The 22504-nt window shown below is 38.5% G+C and overlaps 2 annotated features.

Annotated features, from left to right (window-relative positions):
- Window positions 3603–4278: an enhancer, noted in NCBI's record as "OCT4-NANOG hESC enhancer chr14:87652958-87653633 (GRCh37/hg19 assembly coordinates)". NCBI's record gives its function as "activates a minimal SCP1, AML or CMV promoter by ChIP-STARR-seq in naive H9 embryonic stem cells {active_cell/tissue: H9 hESC(naive)}" and the evidence as "EXISTENCE:reporter gene assay evidence [ECO:0000049][PMID:30033119]".
- Window positions 20180–20878: an enhancer, noted in NCBI's record as "OCT4-NANOG hESC enhancer chr14:87636358-87637056 (GRCh37/hg19 assembly coordinates)". NCBI's record gives its function as "activates a minimal SCP1, AML or CMV promoter by ChIP-STARR-seq in primed H9 embryonic stem cells {active_cell/tissue: H9 hESC(primed)}" and the evidence as "EXISTENCE:reporter gene assay evidence [ECO:0000049][PMID:30033119]".

Raw genomic sequence — 22504 nt, 5'->3', positions numbered from 1 at the left:
TTGATTTTGCTCCATTCTCAATGGAGCCATGGTTGCCATTCTCAATGACTTCATCTGGAAAACTTCTAGGATTCAGTCTAAATCCTACCTCTCCTGTGAAGCCAGCCTGAATGTCCCTCAGGCAGTTATCTATATATATAGTCCAAGGCTACAGCTTATTAAACGATTATTTATTTATTTAAATATAGCCTTCAAGAAGAGGTTTCAAATGTCTCCCAGTCTTTAAGATCACAGACTTTAATCTCAAACCTTGATGATGTTTGATTCTCAATAAGTATTCACTGAAGGAATATTATGAGATGTCTATACTAATTGTATTAGGAAAGGGAACCTTTTGTCAAACCCCTGTTTCTGTGTGGTAGGTAGGTAGATTCATTGATTCATGAAATATTTTTCAAGTGCCTGCTGTGGGCAAGGAGAGTGTCATTTTTTTTAGCTTCAGTTCTCAGGAGGCATATGACTTATTGACGGAAGTTGTATGGATACACAAGTAAGTGAGCCTCAGAGTAAAATCTTCCATTTGGAAGGCGTGAGAAAATGATATCAAAATCCGGAGGGGGAAGTGATTCTTTCTGCCTGGGTGAATCGAGAACAAGCTCTCATAGGAAATAACAACGTAAGTTTAGCCTTAAAGAAAAGGCAAGAATTGAACCGATGTAAGCGTAGAGAATAGCCCTTTCAGGTACAAAAAACAGAAGTAGGTGTGTGGCAGCTCACGCCTATAATTCCAGCACTTTGGGAAGCTGAGTGGGAGGACGGCAGCCTTGGCAACAGAGTGAGACCCCATCTTTACAAAAAATAGAAAAATTAACCCGACGTGGTGGCATGCACCTGTAGTCCCAGCTACTTGAAAAGCTGAGATGGGAAGATCACTTGAGTCCAGGCATTTGAGGTTGCAGTGAGCTACGACTGCAACACTGCACTTCAGCTTGGGCAGAAGAGTGAGACCCTGTCTGTATTAGTCAGGGTTCTCTAGAGGGACAGGACTAATAGGATAGATGTATATATGAAAGGGAGTTTATTAAGGAGTATTGACTCACAAGATCACAAGGTGAAGTCCCACAATAGACCATGTGCAAGCTGAGGAGCAAGAAAGCCAACCCAAGTCCAAAAACCTCAAAAGTAGGGAAACTGACAGTGCAGCCTTCAGTCTGTGGCCAAAGGCCCAAGAGCTGCTGGCAAACCACTTGTGTAGGTCCGAGAGTCCAAAAGCTGAAGAACTTGGAGTCTGATATTCAAGGACAGGAAGCATCCAGCACAGGAGAAAGATGGAGGCCAGAAGACTCAGCCAGTCTATTCCTTCCACATTCTTCTGTCTGCTTTTATCCTAGCCGGGCTGGCAGCTAATTAGATGGTGTCCACCGAGATTGAGGGTGGGTCTGCCTCTCCCAGTCCACTGACTCAAATGTTAATCTCCTTTGGCAACACCCTCACAGACAAATCCAGGAATAATACTTTGCATCCTTCAATCCAATCAAGTTGACACTCAATATTAACCATTACACTGTGTCTTAAAAAAGAGAAAAGAAAGAACGAACGAACGAAAGAAAGAAAGAAAGAAAAGAAAAGAGAGAGAGAAAGAGAGAGAGAGAAAGAGAGAAAGGAAAGAAAGAAAGAAAAAGAAAGAAAGAAAAAGAAAAGAAAGAAAAGAAAGAGAGAAACATAGGTCACATACACAGCCTAGGTGTGCAGAATAATAAGCAGGCTGCATTGGCTGTAGGTCAAGGTTGAGGATGGAAGCAGAAGGAGAATTTGGATGGAAAAGCTGAGGACCGCTTTATCAGAGCTGTAAATACTTGAATCTAAGCCCAAGGAGTTGACACTTCATTCAGTGGGCAGAGAAGACTCACTGAAGTTGTTTCAGCAGATTTCCAAAGTGGTTGATAAGTGTTTCATAGATGTTGGATACTCATACTTTTTTTTTTTTTTTGAGATGGAGTCTCACTCTGTCACCCAGGCTGGAGTGCAATGTCACAATCTCAGCTCACTGCAACCTCTGCCACCTGGATTCAAGTGATCCCTCCTGCCTGAGCTTCCTGAGTAGTGGGAATTACAGGTGCGTGCCACCACACCCGACTAATTTTTTGTATTTTTAGTAAGGACCGGGTTTCACCATGTTGGTCAGGCTGGTCTCAAACTCCTGACCTCGTGATCTGCCTGCCTTGGCCTCCTAAAGGGCTGGGATTACAGGCATGAGCCACTGCACCCGGATGGATACTCATACTTTTAATAGGAACCTTGTCATCTTGGAAGATGTGAGTAAAGAAGTTGCTATGAATTGGGAAACAATGGCTGTGGGTTTGACTGAAAAGAAGAGTTTGAAGTAGATAGCTGTTTTGTCACATCACGAATGACATGCAAAAGAAACAGAAAAAACACATTTTGTCCAAGGCTGCCAAACCACCGTTTTGGCCTCAGGAACAGTATTTAACACACGGAGCACTTACTATGAGAGAGGCACTGTTCAAGGACTATATAGGTGTCAACTCTTTTGTTCCTAAGAAATAAAGATCTTATTATCCCCCTTTTTACAGATGAAGAAATGGAGACAACAGAGAAGTTAAGTAAGTTACCCAAGGTTAGACAGCAGGAAAATGACAGAACTTCTTCATGGTACCGCTTTGCACTCCGCCAGGCAAGACACTGACTAGTATGCAGCTAGGGCTCTTCTCTTTAAACACTGCTGCTTTGAAATAGGAGGGATTAGATGGGATGAAACACACATCATTTTTCCTTTCTTTTTTTTTTAATACCTCTGGGTTGAAAACACCTTTTTTTTTCTCCTCTAAGTAGCACACTTCAGAAGTATGTTGGAAGCTACAGAGACAAGTTAAACTCTACATGAGCAATTTTTCCACCAAGGGAAAAGTGCCTGCCTGCCATTCTTTACAATCCTCCGGGAAGCCATCCTGAACAGGTAAATGACTCCACAGCGCAAAGGAGCTGAACAATTCTTTCCGTGCATGTCTCATTTTGGAATACAGAAGAGAATTCAATATGTCTTGCCAGGTTATTACAAAAGGAACCTGCTATTGCCTAGCTCATTATATGGCATCTGATACCAGATTTTAAACACAGTGAAACAAAATAACGTATATCTTTATTTTTCCTGACACAGAACCTTTTCTTGCTTTATACTGTGACGTGAGGCTGTAGTCATCTGATACTGAGAGCCTACCCTATCATGTATGGCTGGCTTGGACCCAGAGAAAATCAAGTGCTAAATTTGTATAATTTGGAATATGGGATAGGTAGTTTTACAACAAAGGAAGTTTGATTTTTGTTTTTGTTTTCTTAAGGAAGCCATATTCTCCCCCATTATTCAGTATAAAATTAATTTTCTATTTTCAGTAGTTTCTCTTGAGGAGGATGCCTCTTAGTTCATGCATGTTGCACACAAACAAAACATAATGATGTCATTCTGCACTGCAGCTTTTCTTCCTTTCTTCTTCCATTTGTTCACTATTTATTTAAGGCCCAATGTATGTCATTTGCTGCACTCTTATGGACTAGTGAAAATTATGGGATACATATACATTAAAGAGATGGTCTCTGCCTTGAAGGAGTTTAAGTCCCCTGGAGGAAAAAGTCATATGCATGTGTTTTAACACACAAAAAAACACTACGATGCTGTTTCACAGGAAAAAAATAGTAACCTTTTCGGAAGCAGGTAGAAGTTAGGTAGCACTAGGGTAGTATAATGTAAAAGGAGAGTTTCTCTGCCTCCAAGAGAGCTAAACAGTTAGCCAGGCCACGGGTGTATCACTCCAAGGGAAGGCCTTGAAACTTTCTCTGAGCACTTGATGTGCATGTCCCTGTTTATAAAGACTTCATTTTCCTTCATCTCTTCCAACATTGTCTTCACCCCTGGCTACCTTTCTAACAGCCCAACAAGCTGTGACACTTGCAATCTGCTGAATAAGGACAAGGCTTAAATCAGATGCAAATTTCTGAATGCTTCCTTTCCACCTACTTACATTTGCCATTTATATGCAAATGTAAGTCTACTCTCCGTTCTCATTGTAACACTCTGTCCCTCCAGCTTTGCCCTAACCTGGCTTTAGATGAAGGAGGGCTTCGCGCTCGTTAAATCTAGATCCACATTTAACTGTCCACTTGGTAACTCAAAAACCAAATGTCTCGGATCATAATTCTTCAGGAAATAGCTCTCTATAAAAATATATATCAGAGTCTGGGTGATAATGTAATCAAAAACTACGGGTGTTAGTTAAAGTGCTTAAAGGTAAATTTTCTGGCTGTATTCCCACATTCATGAAAAATGATCATTTTTTCAAAATCTCCAGTTTAGCAGTCTAATGCCTTTGGCAGAAATATGCACTAATGTATCGGGAACAGGCTTGTTTAGCACGTAGAAAACCCCAATCAGGACACTTCACTGATATATACGTCTGCATTGATTTTTGTGTTTTTCTTAAATGCTTATTTCTGATGAAATCTGTCCTATTGGCTCCACTCCTGGGATAGAAGCTGAGCTCTGCATTCTTCCCAGCAGCTCAGGGTGAAATAAACGCTTGTCTAATGCTGTATGGCTCAATGCCCCTGTGTCATATCTATGCATGCCATAAAAGCAGTGATAAACATGATATATTTTTATGACTCTGAATGCTCTATGTGTCAATAAAATATTTTTTAAACTGGATGAAGGCTGCAGTGAACCTGCCTCCCTGCTGAAGCACTGAGTCCCAGTATCCCGGGCTTGATTCTGCCCGGATGGCAGAATCATCAATCGTCTGTGATGAAATTAGGTGTCTAGTGCTTGCGGCATATGCAATGCTTTAGTCCTAATGGCCTAAGAGTTTTTTTCTCTGATACACATTGAGAAGCGTTTCCCTTGCTTCTTGTAGGGGAAATGGATCACAGCTATAATCGACCAGATGAGCTAAATGACCTTTCCTTATTTGAAATGCCCTGGGATTTTACGAGAGGAAAAGATCCATATATGCAAGAGAAACTGCAGTGTAAACTTTTCAAAGACATTTTAATAGGCTGCTTTAAAAATATAATTTAAATGTGGAGGAGCTTCTTTCCAGAATACTTTCATTGACCGAAGACAAGATGCCTTTCAAACTTTGGAGGGGCAGCATTGTTTGTTGTGTTGCAAACTACAAATGAATGATACTGCTAATTGTATTACTTATGTCTACACAGTGCTTTCTGTTTGCTAAAGCATTTTATGTTTAGTTCTCATAATAACATTTAGAAGAATGAGTTATGTCTTATTCCATTTGATAGTACATAGAGCTTAAGAAACTTTACACAGAACAAATAACAGCACTGGGACTAGAGCACATTAGAATGGATTAGATCAGGATGAGTTCCTCAACTATTCCCAGTAGGAGTATCAGCCATTCTATAATGAAAGTATTTTGAATACAGGACAATGAGTAAAAAGCATACTTTAAATGATGCTTTTGCCTGTTCACAGATAAAGATCAAGGACAAACATCAAGTCATGCTTTTGGAAAGAGGAGAACGTTTTCATTTCTAAACTTGCAAGTTTCCCAGATAAGCTGAATAAGAACACTTTTCTGCCCTTGCATATAAAGCGTGCATGTTTTATATTTTCCTTAGTTAACTCTATATCTGAGTTTTATTATTTGGGAATTAATGCCGTTTAATTTTGTTTTATTATCATTGGAGATAAGGAAGTGGCTGTGAAAGGAATTAATATTCATCTGCTATTTATTGTCACTGGTACATGACACTAGGTCCTACATAGTCTAGGCACTATGCATCTATTAACAAACAGCTCACAGTCTCCAAACAACTTTGTAAGTTGACCTGCTTTCCAATTTTCCAATTCATATCGCAGAGGAAAAGAAAAACCTCCAGCTCCTTAAGATATTGCTCATTAGCATAGGGCCGTACCTTGCAAATCTCCCCAGAATTGCTGATATTTACATACCGATTTGACATGCATTAGAATTTTAAGGGTCGGTGCTCTAAAATGTTAGCCCATTGAGCACATGAGCTGGAATCAGATGCGTAATGTTAACATTGCTTTCCCGTTCAATTACATAGCGTTTTGGTCAAAAGTTAAGTTGACACATTTCTGCCAATTCCCTTTTTTTATGATAGCCAAATGTCAAGTACGTTGCAAGTGAACGTTGGCATATGACAGATCAATAAGAAATCAGTGTTAATAAGGCCTTTATGGAGGCCCAGATTACACACTCAGATAAGAACAAATGAAATTTTGCAAGAAATCAGGTCAGGGCAGATTCCAGGTTCTGGCTCTTCTACTTCTCTTAGATAATATGCTGCTTTCATCCTACTGTGTGATAATACAATTTTTGAAAGCAATGCAGCTGAGCAATAATAGCATCCATTGCACAAGCGTGCCTAAACTCCTCAACATTGAGATATAGTGAATGTCACTTACAGACGTACTCTAACACAAATTTACTTTACTTCTTTATTGACAATAAATTCCAAGCATAGAGGAATCAAATAACTTGACTCGGCCCTCAAAGCTGGTCATAAATGTGTCAGATCAGCAATAAAATCGTGGCTTGTTAATTATAGAACTAAGGTCTTTTCAATTTTCAGCCTCTAATCTTTCATAATAGTGAGAATCTTGACACCTCTCACCTGAGAGTGTTAAGAAAAACCAGAGCTGGACAGTAGTTAAAGTTAAATAAAATAAAAACAGATTTTATTCAGAAAACAACAACAACAACAAAAACCTATGGTAAAGGCAAAAAAAGGTATCAACATAGACTCAAGCTTAATTCTGAATGCAACAAGAAATGTATAGCCAAGAACCAGAGTAAGGATCTGGTGAATGGAAAATTATTAAAAGAGAGTATCAGACATAAGGGGAGATTCTGCCTAAACCCACCTAACAGGATTCTTGCTGAAGGCAGGCCAAGGTAATCACACATCACCTGGGTGATGGGGGAGGATGAGGAACCCAATCAGATATTGAGGGTGATCAGATATTGAGGGCGGAGATGGGTCTTGCTGAACCCACTTACCAGGATGCACTCTTTGCACAGTTGGACTCTGTAAGAAAGAACAAAGGAGCTCAAGTGTTGGCCTAGTCAAAGAGGGAGTTCAGAGGAGCCTGGTCAAAATGTTGTCAAGGAAACGATCTTGTCACCAGAAAGGTACACAGTTTCTTCAAAATAACAGAGAGATCATTAAATTGAAGAAAAGTCTTAAGATATGGCATACACTGGAAAGTCCCTAACTACAAACTTGATGAAATCATTTGATTTCTCTGAGACTATTTCCTTAGATAATGGAAGTAAAATATTTAGCACAGTGCATACTGTATTAGCATTTGCGGCATATGTCAAGCATTCAAGATATGATAACAATTATTGTTGATTTGCTTCTCTTTTATCATCACCAACATGAACATTGGTAAGATTATGAACTTTTCTGTCAGAGACCAAGATTCACCTATTAGCTCTGCAATTTCTGTGGGTGACTCTAAAAAATTCATTTCTTCACTCAGAATATTTGTGTCTTTATCTATAAATTGAGGGTAACCAAATTATCTAGGAGCAAAATTAAAGAGCTAGCATAGGTACAGTATGAATTACATATGAAATATTCAATAGAAATTAAAGTCATAATATTTATTACTGTATAACAATGTAAATTTGTAAATATAATATATACACTATAACATATGTACTTTGTACTGTAATATTTAAATTAAGTATATTATATATCATGAATATCATATTATTTATTATTTTTATTCTTATTCATATTTATGAATGGAAACATTTAATGATGTATTTCTGCCAACAAACTATTTCTACTTTTACTTTACTACAGAGCATTTAGCGAAATGATTATAGCCACAAATCTTCACCAAAAAAGGAATACAGAAAAGAGAAGATTTAAAAAAAAAAAAAACAGCAGCTAATGAGCAACAGATTTAAAAAAGGAAAAGACTTTCTGAGAAGGTTAACTACCTCTGTGTAATCTCCCTTTAACTACATTGTATTCTTAATTCTATCTCCTTCGTGGATTAAACAAAAATTCTAATGGTTCCCTATTTAGTTATTAAGAAAACAAGAATGTAACATTCTTTTTCCTTCTCATTGAGATCCACCACCATGGAAACCACTGGGAATATTAGAAAAGGGGCAGTATTATTAACCATTCATTACACCTGCATTTCTATAGATTTTTCTTTCTTTCTTTCTTTTTTTCAAATTTTTGCTGTCTTTTTGGTTTACACTAGCTGGTGATAAGGACGCTTTGATATTTACTTCAGAAACTGTTTCTCAAAAAATCTGTAGAAGTATTTCTGGCTGATTTTAAACTCAGTAGACAGTAAACTATTTTGGATTAGATGTATTTAACAGGTGTAAAAGCTCTGATTCTCCATCTAATAATATAGGAATTGATACAACATACCTGGCAGAATTGTGAGGCTCAAAAGAGACTATTTACAGGATGTTTACAGTGTGATTTAACCAACTGGTTTTCACCTCATCCCAATGCTTTAGTAAAAATAATAGTAGAAAACATACATTGAACACTTATTCTGTGAAGAAGACCTTAGGAGTTTGGGACGCTATAGAAAAACAGGATTGGCCGGCACTGTGGCTTATGCCTGTAATCCCAACAGTTCAGGAGGCCGAGGCAGGCTGATCACCTGAGGTCAGGAGTTCGAGACCAGCCTGACCAACATGGTGAAACCTCGTCTCTACTAAAAATACAAAAAAATTAGCTGGGCGTGGTGGCACATGCCTGTAATCCCAGCTACTTGGGAGGCTGAGGCAGAAGAATCGCTTGAACCTGGGAGGCAGAGGTTGCGGTGAGCCGAGATGGCGCCATTGCACTCCAGCCTGGGCAACAAGAGTGAAACTCCATCTCAAAAAAAAAAAAAAAAGGAAAGAAAAGAAAAAGGAAAAACAGAATAAAAAAGATGGAACAACATGCTGAGCAACAAATATGTGGCTGGTGAAGAATGTAAGTCAATCATTTTTATAATGTATAATATTACTTTACCTATCATTCTCATATTCCCAAAGCATAGAGACAGGGTTAGGTAGGTTACATAAACATATAGACCAAATGCTTGAAAGACTGAGGATTTAAATTCAGGGCTCCTTAATCTTTACATAAAGGATTCTTGATTTGGGGATGGGGACAGAATTAGAGAGAAGAATGATTTTACATAATTTTATTTTTCTACTAGCTACGTAAGTACAAACTTCAGCAATCTCTCACCACTGATATTCCTCCCTGTTGTTTGCCTTGCAAACATACGGAATTGGCAATTAGTAGTTTACAGTCCTGATGTTTCACTTTTGCTGTCATCTGAGGTTTTTCTCAGCTTAGTAACTCCAAAAACCTGCCAAGCCTATAACAAGCTTTGAAAGATGGAGCACGGCACTTGGTGTAACAGCTGATATGATGATCAAATCCGTGGTCTCTGTGTGTGTGTGTCACCCTGTCTCCAGTCTGTTGCAGGACTTCTCTGAGTCCACAAGTTTAAGTTTGTTTGTACAATTTGGCAAAGCACCCTAGTCATAAAAATGGGCCATATTGTCTTTAAAAGATGTTGAAAGCTGTGTAAATGAATCAAATTCTGTGTAGTAAAGAATTTGGCCTTGCTGGAAGAGAGGTCTGGCAATTGCCCTCAACTTCTAGGAGATCTTTTCATATCTGATAAAAGCACCTTTGTTTAGGGAGGGGGCTTGCGGCAAGGAGCTCAGGGTGGAGTTGGTAAGACCTGATAATATTAGGAGGAGGCCTAACCACACCACAAAGAGCTCCTATGTGATTTAAGGTAGGGGCTTTGGATCATACAATATAATTCACCACGTGTGCAATGAATCAGTCATGCCCATGTCATGGAACTCCAGTGAAATCTCTGCACATAGAAGCTCCAGAGTTTATCTGGTTGGCAATACTCTATAAATATTGTCACACATTAATGTTGGGAAAATAACGTATCCTAATTCCATGGAAGATGACAAGGGAATATTCATGTTTGAAGCCCTCTCAGACTCTGACCTAGGTGTCTCTTCCTTTGGCTGATTTTATTCTGTATTGTTTTCCTGTAATACACTGTAACTGTGAGTATAATAGACTTCAGTGAGTTCTGAGAGTCCTTCTAGTAAATGGGTCATTTGAGGAACTTCCTGAACTTTCAGTTGGTGTCAAAAGTTAGGGTAGTCCTGCTGGCTGTGCCCTCAAACTTTTCAGTTTGGCTAATTGTGGTTAATAGCTCCTTTACAAAGAGAGAGAAAGAAGAAAGAGAGAGAAAGAGAAAATAGAAAAACATCTGTCTTTGAACTTTGTTCATTATGTCCAAATCTTGGACAAGCTCCATGCTAATTATGTCAACTTGAACCACTTATTTCAACTCTCTGATTTTCCATCTAATAATGTAGGAATTGATGCAACATACCTTGTAGGACTGTTGTGAAGATCAAAAGAGATGATTTATTTACAGGATATTTCCAGCATGATTTCTGATAGGTGCTTCATAAACATTATGTTTATTGTTTGAAATTTAGGATGGTCTCTTGGAAACACTCTTAGGGAAAAATCTATTCTTGGTTAAGTGTGGTCATTTCAGGCATAGACTCCAAAGACCTATGGGAGAGTTACATGGAATGGAGTATATTTGAGTTGCAGGCAGTGAATAGTTAAATGTGAAGCAACTGCCCACTTCATATACCCATGCAGAGAAAATCAGGAATGATTTAGAGAATTGCTGTTGTAAATGTGGAGGCTGTGGATCTGATGACTAAAGCGACCTCATTTAGGAATCACAGTCCAGTGAATCTAGGGAGCATTCAAGTTCAGTGACTTGTTTCTAGAATATATATTTATTAAGAACTTTTGGCCGGGCACTTTGGCTCTCGCCTGTACTCCCAGCACTTTGGGAAGGCAAGGCAGGCAGATCACTTGAGGCCGGGAGTTCGAGACCATCCTGGCCAACACGGCAAAACCCTATCTCTACTAAAAATACAAAAATTAACCAGGGATGGTGGCGTACGCCTATAGTCCCAGCCACTCGGGAGGCTGAGGTGGGAGAATCGCTTGAAGCCGGGAAGCAGAGGCTTCCGTGAGCCGAGATTGTGCCACTGTACTCCAGCCTGGGCAACAGAGTGAGACTCTGTCTCAAATATATATATATTTTGATGTGCCAGGCACTATTCTGGGAGCTGAGGAATTAGCAGTAAACAGACAAAATTCCTCTTTTTCATGGTGGTTCTTTCAGGAAAAACAAAAAATAAACGAATAATCGTATAACAGAAATGTCAGTAATAATTGATATGCAAAAAAATAAAGCCGTTCAAGAGGTTGGAGTGGAAGGGTAGTGCTATTTGATAATAGGTGGTCAGGGAAAACTGAGACTACAGAGGGAACAAGATTCGTCAATATCTGGGGGAAGAGTGTCCAAGACAGAGTGAAACCTAAATGGAATGTTCCTGGCTATACTGGGAGCCATAGGAGACCAGCCTGGCTACAGCATTTACTTTTATCAATATTCTCTAGTCAGTCACAAATTTTAATTTAATTATTGTATTGCCAAGTAATATTTTAAAATTGGACAAAATATTTTTATCAGACCTTTGAGGTAACATACAACTAAGATAAAACATTGTAAAGACAACGTAGTGAGACTTTTTAAGTGAGCTGCTTAAAAGCATTATAAAAAGACAGTGAATAGAGTCCACGTGCAGTGGCTCACGCCTGTAATCCCAACACTGTGGGAGGCTGAGGCAGGTGATTCACCTGAGGTCAGGAGTTCCAGACCAGCTTGGCCAACATGGTGAAACCCTGTCTCTACTAAAAATACAAAAATTAGCTGGGTGTGGTGGCAGGTGCCTGTAATCCCAGCTACTAGAGAGGCTGAGGCAGGAGAATTGCTTGAACCCAGGAGGTGGAGGTTGCAGTGAGCCAAGATCGTGCCACTGCATTCCGGCCCGGGCAACAGATAGTGAAGACCCAAGATTTGACAGCCAGATTGGTGTACCAACAGCAGCAGCCTGGAAATGCTCCCTGAAATAATTAACTTCCATCTGATGTCCTTAGAGAACCATTGAAAGCCATTAGTAAAGGGATAGATGATTTCAATTTTGTTACTTGGAAAAAATCAAGTTAGGGCCTTCCCACACATCATGTACCAAAATATTTTTAAATAAGTTATTTTCATATAAGATTGCAATCCATAAAAATGAGAATAAGGCATGAGTTAGGACTTAGACAATCTTGGACTAGAAAGTGGCTTGCAATATCTTTAGCTAAAATAAAAATTTTAAAAACACATTAAAATATAATACAGCCTGTCTCCCCAGTTATTGGCAATAAGTGTTTTTTACTCAAATAAGAAAATAAAATAGTTGAAGGGGAAGGAAAATGACTACATGGGGCACTTTTCTGATGTCTCAGCATTTCCCTGTTTTCGATTTTACTTATGTCCTAAGCATGAGTCTGTTGGTGTTATCTGAAATTTGCATTTTCACATACTAATGAGAAGTGTTAGTCATCACAATTCTTAAAATGAACATTATATGCAATCAATCTATTTTCAAATATTTTTAAATTATACTTCCCCATACAAAAAACCAGAAGAGTTTAGATAAGCTTCAGAAAATAATTGTATTGCTTAGATACCTGTAGAAATTCTTTATGAATTCTGCACCTCGTCCATCCTAATATTTCTAGAGACTGTGATAGAATACGCTTCCATGGAAGGAGACATTTGAGAACATTTGGATCCCACTTTCAAAGTAGGATGTTTTATTTTCCCCTCCATTTCACTCACAATCAGAAACATATGGAATGTTTTATTTGCAGGCTACAAAAACAAATCAAACAAGCAATCCTGTGTTGGAAAGAATTTATTCCTCCTGTGGAACAGGAGTCTAGCTCTGTGTCCAAACTTCCAAGCCCACTGCTTTCTCTCTACAGTCATCAAAGTTAATAGCTGCTTCTGTGCCCTCTGTTATTCCCTCTACTCTGGCAGTATTATAGGGCAGGCCTCGTTTTCCCTTCTGAGATTCATTATTCTGTCCTCTTCAGCTTCATGGAAATATTTACCCAATTATTGTCAGTTTCTCCATCAGGATTGCTGATTGTGTGGTTATTCTGCTGATAAGGTTTCTTATCTCTTTCCTTGAGTCCCTTGATTCTCTACCTACAGGCAATTTCTATCCATGTGTAAAGGCATTTTCTAGCTATGTGTACTGTTTGTTCTTGCATTGTTATAGAGAAATACTTGAGACTGGGTAATTTAGAAAGAAAAGAGGTGTAGTTGGCTCATGGTTCCACAGGCTGTACAGGAAGCATGATGCTGGCATCTGCTTGGCTTCTGGGGAGACCTCAGGAAACTTACAGTCATCATGGAAGGTGAAGGGGAAGCAGGCTATGGCCAGAGCAGGAGGAAGAGAGAGAGAGGAGGTGGGAGGTGCCACACACTTTTAAACAACTCGATCTCCTGAGAACTCTATCATGAGAACAGCACTAGGGGGATGGTGCTAAACCATCCCCCCATGATCCAATCACCTCCCACCAGTCCCCACCTCCAGTACTGGGAATTACATTTCAACATGAGATTTGGGTGGGAATACAGATCCAAACTATATCACAATGGACACCTCATTCCTACAGTTTTGGTGAAAACCTTAGATACAGGCAAATGAGGGTGCATCCATAGCCAGTCCCTGGGCATCTTCCCTCTCTCATACGTAGTAAGAAGGTTGTATTAGTCCGAGTTCTCTAGAGGGCCAGGACTAATAAGATAGATGTATATATGAAGGGGAGTTTATTAAGGAGATTTGACTCACACAATCACAAAGTGAAGTCCCACAATAGGCTGTCTGCAAGCTGAGGAGCAAGGAAGCCCGTCTGAGTCCCAAAACCTCAAAAGTAGGGAAGCTGAAAGTGCAGCCTTCAGTCTGTGGCTGAAGGCCCGAGAGCCCCCTGGCAAACCAGTGGTTTATTAGGTCCAAGAGCCTAAAAGCTGAAGAACTTGGAGTCTGATGTTTCAGGGCAGGAAGCATCCAGCACAGGAGATAGATGGAGGCCACAAGACTTAACCAGTCTAATCCTTCCATGTTCTTCTGCCTGCTTTTATTCTAGCTGTACTGGCAGCTGATTTGATTGTGCACACCAAGATTGCAGGTGGGTCTGCCTCTCCCAGTCCACTGACCCAAATGTTAATCTCCTTTGACAACATCCTCACAGACACACCCAGGAATAATACTTGCATCTTTCAATCCAATTAAGTTGACATTCAATATTAGCCATCACAGACATGCAAAAAGGATGTTAACTAGCTTGTTTCATCTTCTAATGGTCTTATCTTTCCCTATTGGAATATTTTCTGCAACCAGATATTAAGATTTTATAGAATGAAAAAACAGGGGCTGCTTTTTAGAATTGGACATAGAATTTGTTGCATTATTTTCTGCTGGTAGATTGGATCTTACTGGTGATTTTTGATGTGTTTTACAGCTTAAAACCTCTTTTGTAGGTGTTATTTTTCAGCTGTTCAACAATATTTGAATAACCTAAGCTATTAGGTTTGTGACCAACATGGCTTTCTCCCCATCTTCCCTTGGACCATTTCTCTTTAGTTTTCAGTTCCACCTGAAGAATGTTAAGGCACTCCTAACATAGATCCTTTAGCCCCTGTCTCCATCGCGAGATTCTATTACAGTGACCCCAAAATATGTTCTTTGAAGGTAGAAGATGGTGATGGTAAACCACATAAAGGTGAATAAACACAGCACTTGTGAGATAAGTGAATTACAACATGAAATATCAGCAATTTGAGTCAGGGATTGCATCTTGTTCTAGACACCATCACACTGGATGTGCTGAACAAAACATTGTTTAATGAAACAATGCTTCATATGAGAAAAGTTTGTAAATAATCAGATCCAAGTAAGAGTCTACAGAAGTTTGGTTTTTTTGGCCACAAAAATAAAATACAGTTATTTGCAAAACAGTAATAAGTAGAAGTATTCAAGTATAGACATGGGTGTAAATTTGCAGTATACAATTAAGCGTGCAGAAATATGATGCATAAAGGGGGCGTTCCCTGTGACATTAGAATTTCATTGCTTTTGGGCACTTCCAATTTTATGGCCAAATCCACCCATGCAGGTGTCAGAGTGAAGAAATAGTTGCATAGAGTATGGTTTAAAGCCCTTTGGAGCCCATTCATATCAACCAGATCACTGGTCTTTCTCCTGCCATATGCTTGCCTTATATGGTACTTATAAAGAATGCTGACTGATTTTTTTTTCAGCATAAAAAGTTTTAATTTTTCCAAACAAATTTTTTCAAATGGCAAATGAACAGAAATTCAAAAGTTGCAAATTCACAGCTGCAGTCTGTGGGGAGAGAAAAACTTCACCCATCAAATCTGCAAAATATACCAGAACATAAAAAAAAATCAATTGATTGGCAGATGTGGATATTTACATCTCTCTCTTTAATTGCTTAAAATCAGCGAGTTGGGAGACTTCACTAAACTTGGCAGCAATTCAAGTTGAGTACAGCTTCTCTTTGGCAGGAGGCTGAGAAAACTGAAATGTGTATGATACCTTTAAAAAAGAGGATTAAAAAAAACCAGGGGAGATAATGAGGAAATTACAACCAGCAAAGCTGAAGAAGTTCAGTGTTGTAGCCTGAGGGATATTAAGAGAGGAGCAAGTTCAAAGAAGCATAGAATTGTCATCATCGAATGCAGAGGAGTTAAATATCATAGACTAATCTAGGTTAATATATTTTAAAAAATAATAGTTTAAAATTATTTTTGAACAATTATAATTGAGAATAAGGTTTTAAAAGCAGCGACATGACACTACTAGTATCTTACCCAAACAATATTTATTTGGTTTCATAAAGGTCAAGGAAAATTGCTTCTATTTTTAAAGAAATAGGGATTTTTAGAACCACAGGAAGTGCTTACATGGATTTTCAGCCCACTGTGATACTGAAGGTGCCTTAACTGGAAGTAAAGGCAAACCTCATGTCAGCCACTGCCTGCATGTCTATGTATTGCCACAGTGGGAAACAGTTCCTCCTTTTCCATCTTCAAAATATCACTGGATGTTTCTCATTGATGGCGTTTAAATATAACTCTGCTGACAAAAGAATTTGCTAAACGGTTTTGAGGCTTTTAGCTCCCATAATATCAAGCCTAACTTAAAGGGCAGAGATAGTACTGAGTATCAACTAAGAATATTTGGCATAGACACATATAAGAATGACTAAAGCACTTAAACGAAGCGGAGACAGTAATATTTGGATTAGAAATTGCAAGGAACTGGCTGAATTTTCTAATTTATAAATGAACTTCATGTTTTATATACTTGAAATTAGGTATAATTAGCATAATTATCTTGATGAGGACATTGAAGATATGAAATGTTAACTTTCCTAAGATAACGTATATACCAACTTATTTTTGAAATTTGATTCAAAGTTTTGAAACATAAAAACACATGATCTTTCACCTATCCCACATATTTCCCAATAGAAAGCCAGGGAACTAAGATTCCCAGAGTAAAGATTTGTGTTCAATATGCAGAGTAAAACCTATAGGTTGGTGCTAAAATAACTGAGTTTTTGCCATTACTTTCAGTGGCACAAACTGCAATTACTTTTGCAAAATCCTATTATTATAGAAAAGATTATGAAGAGAATTTGTGGCATTATTTTTCTCTTATTGCCTTAGAAAAGAAGTGATTTCAGGGATCAGAAACTGTTTCTACATGCTCTTGAGATCTGTGTATGCTTTAAAAATCAGTTATTTTTATTTTTACAATTTTTTTCTATCAACTTATGAATTTCTCTTCCTCCACCAGTTTTTGTAACATCTAAATCCCAAGTTTAAAATATCTTAGTGTTCTGAATTCTTATATACCCTTTTAAGTTAGGCTTTTTAAAAATCATAGTTTTTTTATTTTATTATTTGTATTGCCAATACCATCCTGTTTTGGATATTATACACTGCTATCACGTCTAATACTCTAAAACTCACTGTTTAGTCCTGTTTTCCAAGTTGTCTGTTATGAATTCACTTTTTCTTTCTAACTTAGGTTAAGTTTAAAGAATTGCAACATCCTACAAAATACCATTAAACATTTTGCTCACATTTCTTTTAATTTACTTCTAAATTAAATTAAATTCTCAATTTGAGCAGTTTCTCCAGGGAATTATTTATTTATTTACCTATTTTTGTCTATTAAGGTTATTTCTATGTTCCTCAATAATGTTCCATAGATTTTTCTCATAGTGGTTTGCTAAGCTTTCTAAGTTCATTCCTAAGTATTTTGTAATTTAGTTAGCATTCAAAATGGTATTTGTTTTCCATTAAGCTGTGTAGTGTTTTTTAATTGCTGGTACACAAAATATATTATTTTTTTGAAATGTTTATTTATAACTCCCTATCTACTACCCAGAGACTCAAACAAATCTTGATAGCTTTTTTTGGTCTAATGATACAATTTGCAATTCATTATAATTTTCTTCCATTTTAAAATTTTGATTACTACATTTCTTCTCCTCCTTCTCCTCCTCCTCCTTGTCCTTCTCCTTCAATGGCCATTACTAAAATTTTCAGGGCATTGACCAATAGTAGTGATAGAAAGTGGTAGAACTGATAGAAGCCTTTCCTCTGACTTAATTCATAATGACTGGTGTTTCATTCAGTTGTCAGTTCTACCTTACTGCTTTCAACCTATGTCTGAAATGTTCTCCCCACACATAAACACACAACTAGATTCTTTACTTCATTTTGGGTATTTATTCAAAACTCACCTTCCAATTCATGTAAACCCCATGAAAGGCAGAGGCCATCTTCTTTGACTCTTTCTTATGTACTCAGATTTTAGGCAGAGCTTAGTAAATATCTGTTGACTCCATGTTATTGAGCCATTGAGAATAGCGTTGCTTGGTAGCTTGACACAACTATTTTTTATTATGTTGAGAAAATTAACTGTATTATGTATTCATATACATTTGATCAGGCCTAGATTCTCAGTTCTACTAAACACTGTACGATCTCTTGAAAGGATAAAATTATTCTCTTTTTACTTTTGATCTAATCAAGTTAGACTTGTATTAGATTTTGTAAACATTAAATGACTCTTGCATTCTTGTAATGAATACTGCTTGTTTGCAATGTATTATTTTAATAATATGCTGAATTTGATTTGCCAGGACTTTATTTAGTACCCATCTAAACTCAAAAGTGAGGGTTTCCTGTACTTTTATGATTGTGCCTCATTTGTTAGGTATAGGTATTTGGGTTAAGTGATGTTCGAAAGCAGAGATAGGGATGTTTTTCACATTAGATACAGAAATGCCTATTAGACATGACATAGACTTAATATTGAATTAAATTTTATAACTGTATTTTATCTCAATTCTATGTTTATCTGGTTTCATTACATTCCAGCAGTTATTCTATACCAACACTTGCATAGAAGCTGTTTTATTAATCTCTTATTAAGGTAAAGTTACTTAAATCCCATGTCTCCCCTACCCCACTTGCCAGAATGCTACAAGAAAGGCCTACTTTCTGAACTTTTACTTGTCTGAAATATTCACTCATCTCACATAGGAAGGACAAATTCACTGGTTACTTTTCTCACTACACTCTATGCTAACTTCTTCTATTGTTTAGAATTGAAAATAAATGTAAAACCAGTCTATAGTTTTACCTGCATAAAAGGAGCTCTTCAGCCAGGCGCAGTGGCTCACACCTATAATCCCAGCACTTTGGGAGGCCAAGGAGGGTGGATCACGAGGTCAGGAGATCGAGGCCATCCTGGCCAACACGGTGAAACTCTGTCTCTACCAAAAATACAAAAAATTAGCCAGACATGGTGGCGGGCACCTGTAATCCTAGCTACTTGGGAGGCTGAGGCAGGAGAATCACTTGAACCCTGGAGGCAGAGGTTGCAATGAGCTGAGATTGTGCCACTGTGCTCCAGCCTGGTGACAGAGCAAGACTCCATATCAAAAAAAAAAAAAAAAAAAAAAAGGAGCTCTTCCTGACTGAATTTTAAATTCTTTTTCTTTGTCTTGGAAATTTCAGGACGTGTCTAACTAGTTTTTTTAGTAAATCAAAATTCCTATTTTCTCCATATAATTATTATTATGGTTGTTGTTATTATTTATTTTAGTTAAGTTTCCTTCTATGTCTCATATTATTTCTGTTCTATTTTTATAGGGTTGCTGCTTGGTCAGGTCTCTGCAGGTTACTTCCAAGGAGACCAACCTATAGGAAGAGCAAATCCATCTTTCATGCCTCCCTCAGACAGATCTCATTTACATTGACTCCAGAAAAAAATTCATCAATGTTTGTGATATTTGAAGGGTACCTTTTTCAATTTTAGAATTTTTATATCTCTCTAAATTCTGTATCTTGAAGGGAATCTAGAAAGAATAGGCATTAGAATTTTTAGTTAGAATTTGTGTTTTACTCAAAATTCTTGCCTGGATCAAGTGTTTCCTTAAATACTTGGCATAACGCCTGGTGAATAAGAAATACTTCAATCAAGAAGGAAATGGGATTGGATGTATGAGATTCTTTATTCAAATGATATCTTTTAGAGTACAGACTTGGAAACCACAGCTACCCTAAGGATTATATTTTGGGAGTGTAGAAATATTCAAGAAGATATATAAATTTCTTTATGATGACAAAGATTCTTTCAAAGGAAAGGAAGCGGAGATAGAAATACACTAATGATAACAAAATGCACAAAGTTATATCCATAGTCATCTCATTATAAGGTAATGCTGTTACAAGGTTATAATGCTGTTATAACACCGTTGCCCTTCTACCCAGAACTTTCACTGGCTCCCTGTTTTACTCAGAGCAAAAGCTAAAGGATTTGTTATGTCCTCCAAGTCACAGATGATTTGTTCCTTTTGCTTCATTGAGTTGTCTCCCACTGGCCTCATCCCTGTGTAGTCAGCTTGGTCTTCACTGGTGTCCCTTATAAGCTGATATGCTTGTCTCACTCCTACCTCAGTCACTTGTCATTTTTTTTTTCTGCTTAAAATGCTCCCTCTACAAACACATATGCAACTAGATTCTTCATCTCCTTGTGGGTCTTGATTGCAAATTCACCCTTTTCTTAAGACCATTCTATCTAAAATTTTAATCTCCCATCAACATTTCATACTCCCATTCTCTTATTTACTTATTTTTCTTATCATGACAGAAAATGCTTTGCATTTCACCTGTGTATCTTGTTCATTGTTGTTCTTTCTTGTTTCCATACAGGCTTTATAAGGACAGGGCATTTAGTATGTTGTGTTCACTATTGCAACCCTGGTTCCCAGAACAGGGTCTGACCACCAGTAGGGATTCAATAAATATCTGTAAAATGAATAAATAATGAGATGTGATAACAAAATGGTTTGGCTTTGTGTCCCCACCCAAATCTCCTCTGGAATTTTAATCCCTACACGTCAAAGGAGGGACTTGGTGGGAGGTAATTGGATCATGGGGTTGGTTTCCCCCATGCTGTTCTCATAATAGTGACTGAGTACTCACAAGATCTAATGGTTTTAAAAGTGTTTGGAAGTTCCTCCTTTGTTCTCTCTCTCCTGCCACTTCGTGAAGGAGCTGCCTGCTTCCCTTTCATTGTCTGCCATAACTGTAAGTTTCCTGAGGCCTCCCCAGCCATTCGGAACTGTAAGTCAATTAAACCCCTTTCCCTTATAAATTACCCAGTCTCAGGAATTTCTTTATAGCAGTGTTAGAACGGATTAGTACAGGAAACTGGTACTGCAGCAGAGTGGGGCACCACTAAAAAGATAACCTGAAAATGTGGAAGTGACTTTGGAACTGAGTAACTGGGCAGAGGTTGGAACAATTTCAAGGGCTCAGAAGAAAACAGGAAGATGTGGAAAAGTCTGGAACTTCCTAGAGACTTGTTGAATTGTTTTGACCAAAATGCTGATAGTGATATGGGCAACAAAGTCCAAGCTGAGGTCGTCTCAGATGAAGATTAGGAACTTATTGGGAACTGGAGCAAAAGTCACTCTTGCTATGCTTTAGCAAAGAGGCTGGCAGCATTTTGCCCCTGCCCTAGAGATCTGTAGAACTTTGAATTTGAGAGAGATGATCTGAAATTGAAACTTATGTTTAAAACGGGAGCCGAGTGAAAATGTTTGAAAAATTTGCAACCTGACCATGCAATAGAAAAGAAAATCCCATTTTCTGGGGAGAAATTCAAGCCAGCTGTGGAAATTTGCATAAGAAATGAGAAGCTGAATGTTAATAGCCAAGACATGGGGAAAATTTCTCCAGGGCATGTTAGAGATCTTCAAGGGAGAGATTCCCATCATAGGGCAGGAGGCCTGAAAGGGAAAAATGGTTTCATGGGTCAGGCCCAAGGCACCCCTGCTCTGTGCAGCCTCAGGACATGGTGCCCTTTGTCCCAGCCTTTCCAGCTCCAGCCATGGCTAAAAGGGGCCAATTGCTTCTGAGGTGAAAGCCCCAAGCATTGGTGGCTTCCATGTGGTGTTGGGATTGTAGGTGCACAGAAGAGAAGAGTTGAGCTTTTGGAACCTCTGCCTAGATTTCAGAGGGAGTATGGAAACGCCTGGATGTCCAGAGAGAAGTCTGCTGTAGTGGCAGAACCCTCATGGGGAACCTCTGCTAGGGCAGTGCAGAAGGGAAATGTGAGGTTGGAGCCCCCACACGAAGTCCCCACTGGGGTACTACCTAGAAGAGCTGTGAGAACAGGGCCACCATCCTCCAGTCCCCAGAATGGTAGGTGCACCAACAGCTTGCACTATGCACCTAGAAAAGCTACAGGCACTCAACACCAGGCCAAGAGAGCAGCTGTGGAAACTGAACCCTGCAAAGCCACAGGGCAAAGGTGCCAAAGGCCTTGGGAGCCTACCCTTTGTATCAGCATGCCCTGGATGTGAGATATGGAGTCAAAGGAGATTATTTTGGAACATTAAGATTTAATGACTGCCTTGCTGGATTTTGGGCTTGTATGGCGCCCGTTATCTTCTATGTTTTGGCAAATTTCTCCCATTTGAAATGGGAGAACTTATCCAATGCCTGTACCCCCATTGTGTCTTTGACATAACTAACTTGTTTTTGATTTTACAGGCTCACGGGCAGAAAGGACTTGCTTTGTCTCAGATGAGACTTTGGACTTGGACTTTGGAGTTAATTTTGGAATGAGTTAAGACTTTGGGGGACTGTTGGAGGACTTGAACTTTTGAATTAATGCTGGAATGAGTTAAGACTTTGGGGGATTGTTGGAAGGCATAATTACTTTTAAAATATGAGGACATGAGATATTTGGCAGTTCCTCCTTTTCTCTCCCCAACCCTCTCTCTCTCAATCTCCTGCAGCCTTGTGTACAGAGTGCCTGCTTCCTCTTCACCTTCCATCATGATTGTAAGTTTCCTGAGGCCTCCCCAGCCACGTGTAACTGTGAGTCAATTAAATCTTTTTTTAAAAATAAATTAACTAGTCTCAGGTATTTCTTTATAGCAG

The sequence above is a fragment of the Homo sapiens genome, chromosome 14 (assembly GCF_000001405.40).
Source record: "Homo sapiens chromosome 14, GRCh38.p14 Primary Assembly".
Classification (NCBI taxonomy): Eukaryota; Metazoa; Chordata; class Mammalia; order Primates; family Hominidae; genus Homo; species Homo sapiens.
The sequence above is the reverse complement of the archived record's forward strand: the minus strand, read 5'-3'. Positions and strand labels throughout refer to the sequence as shown.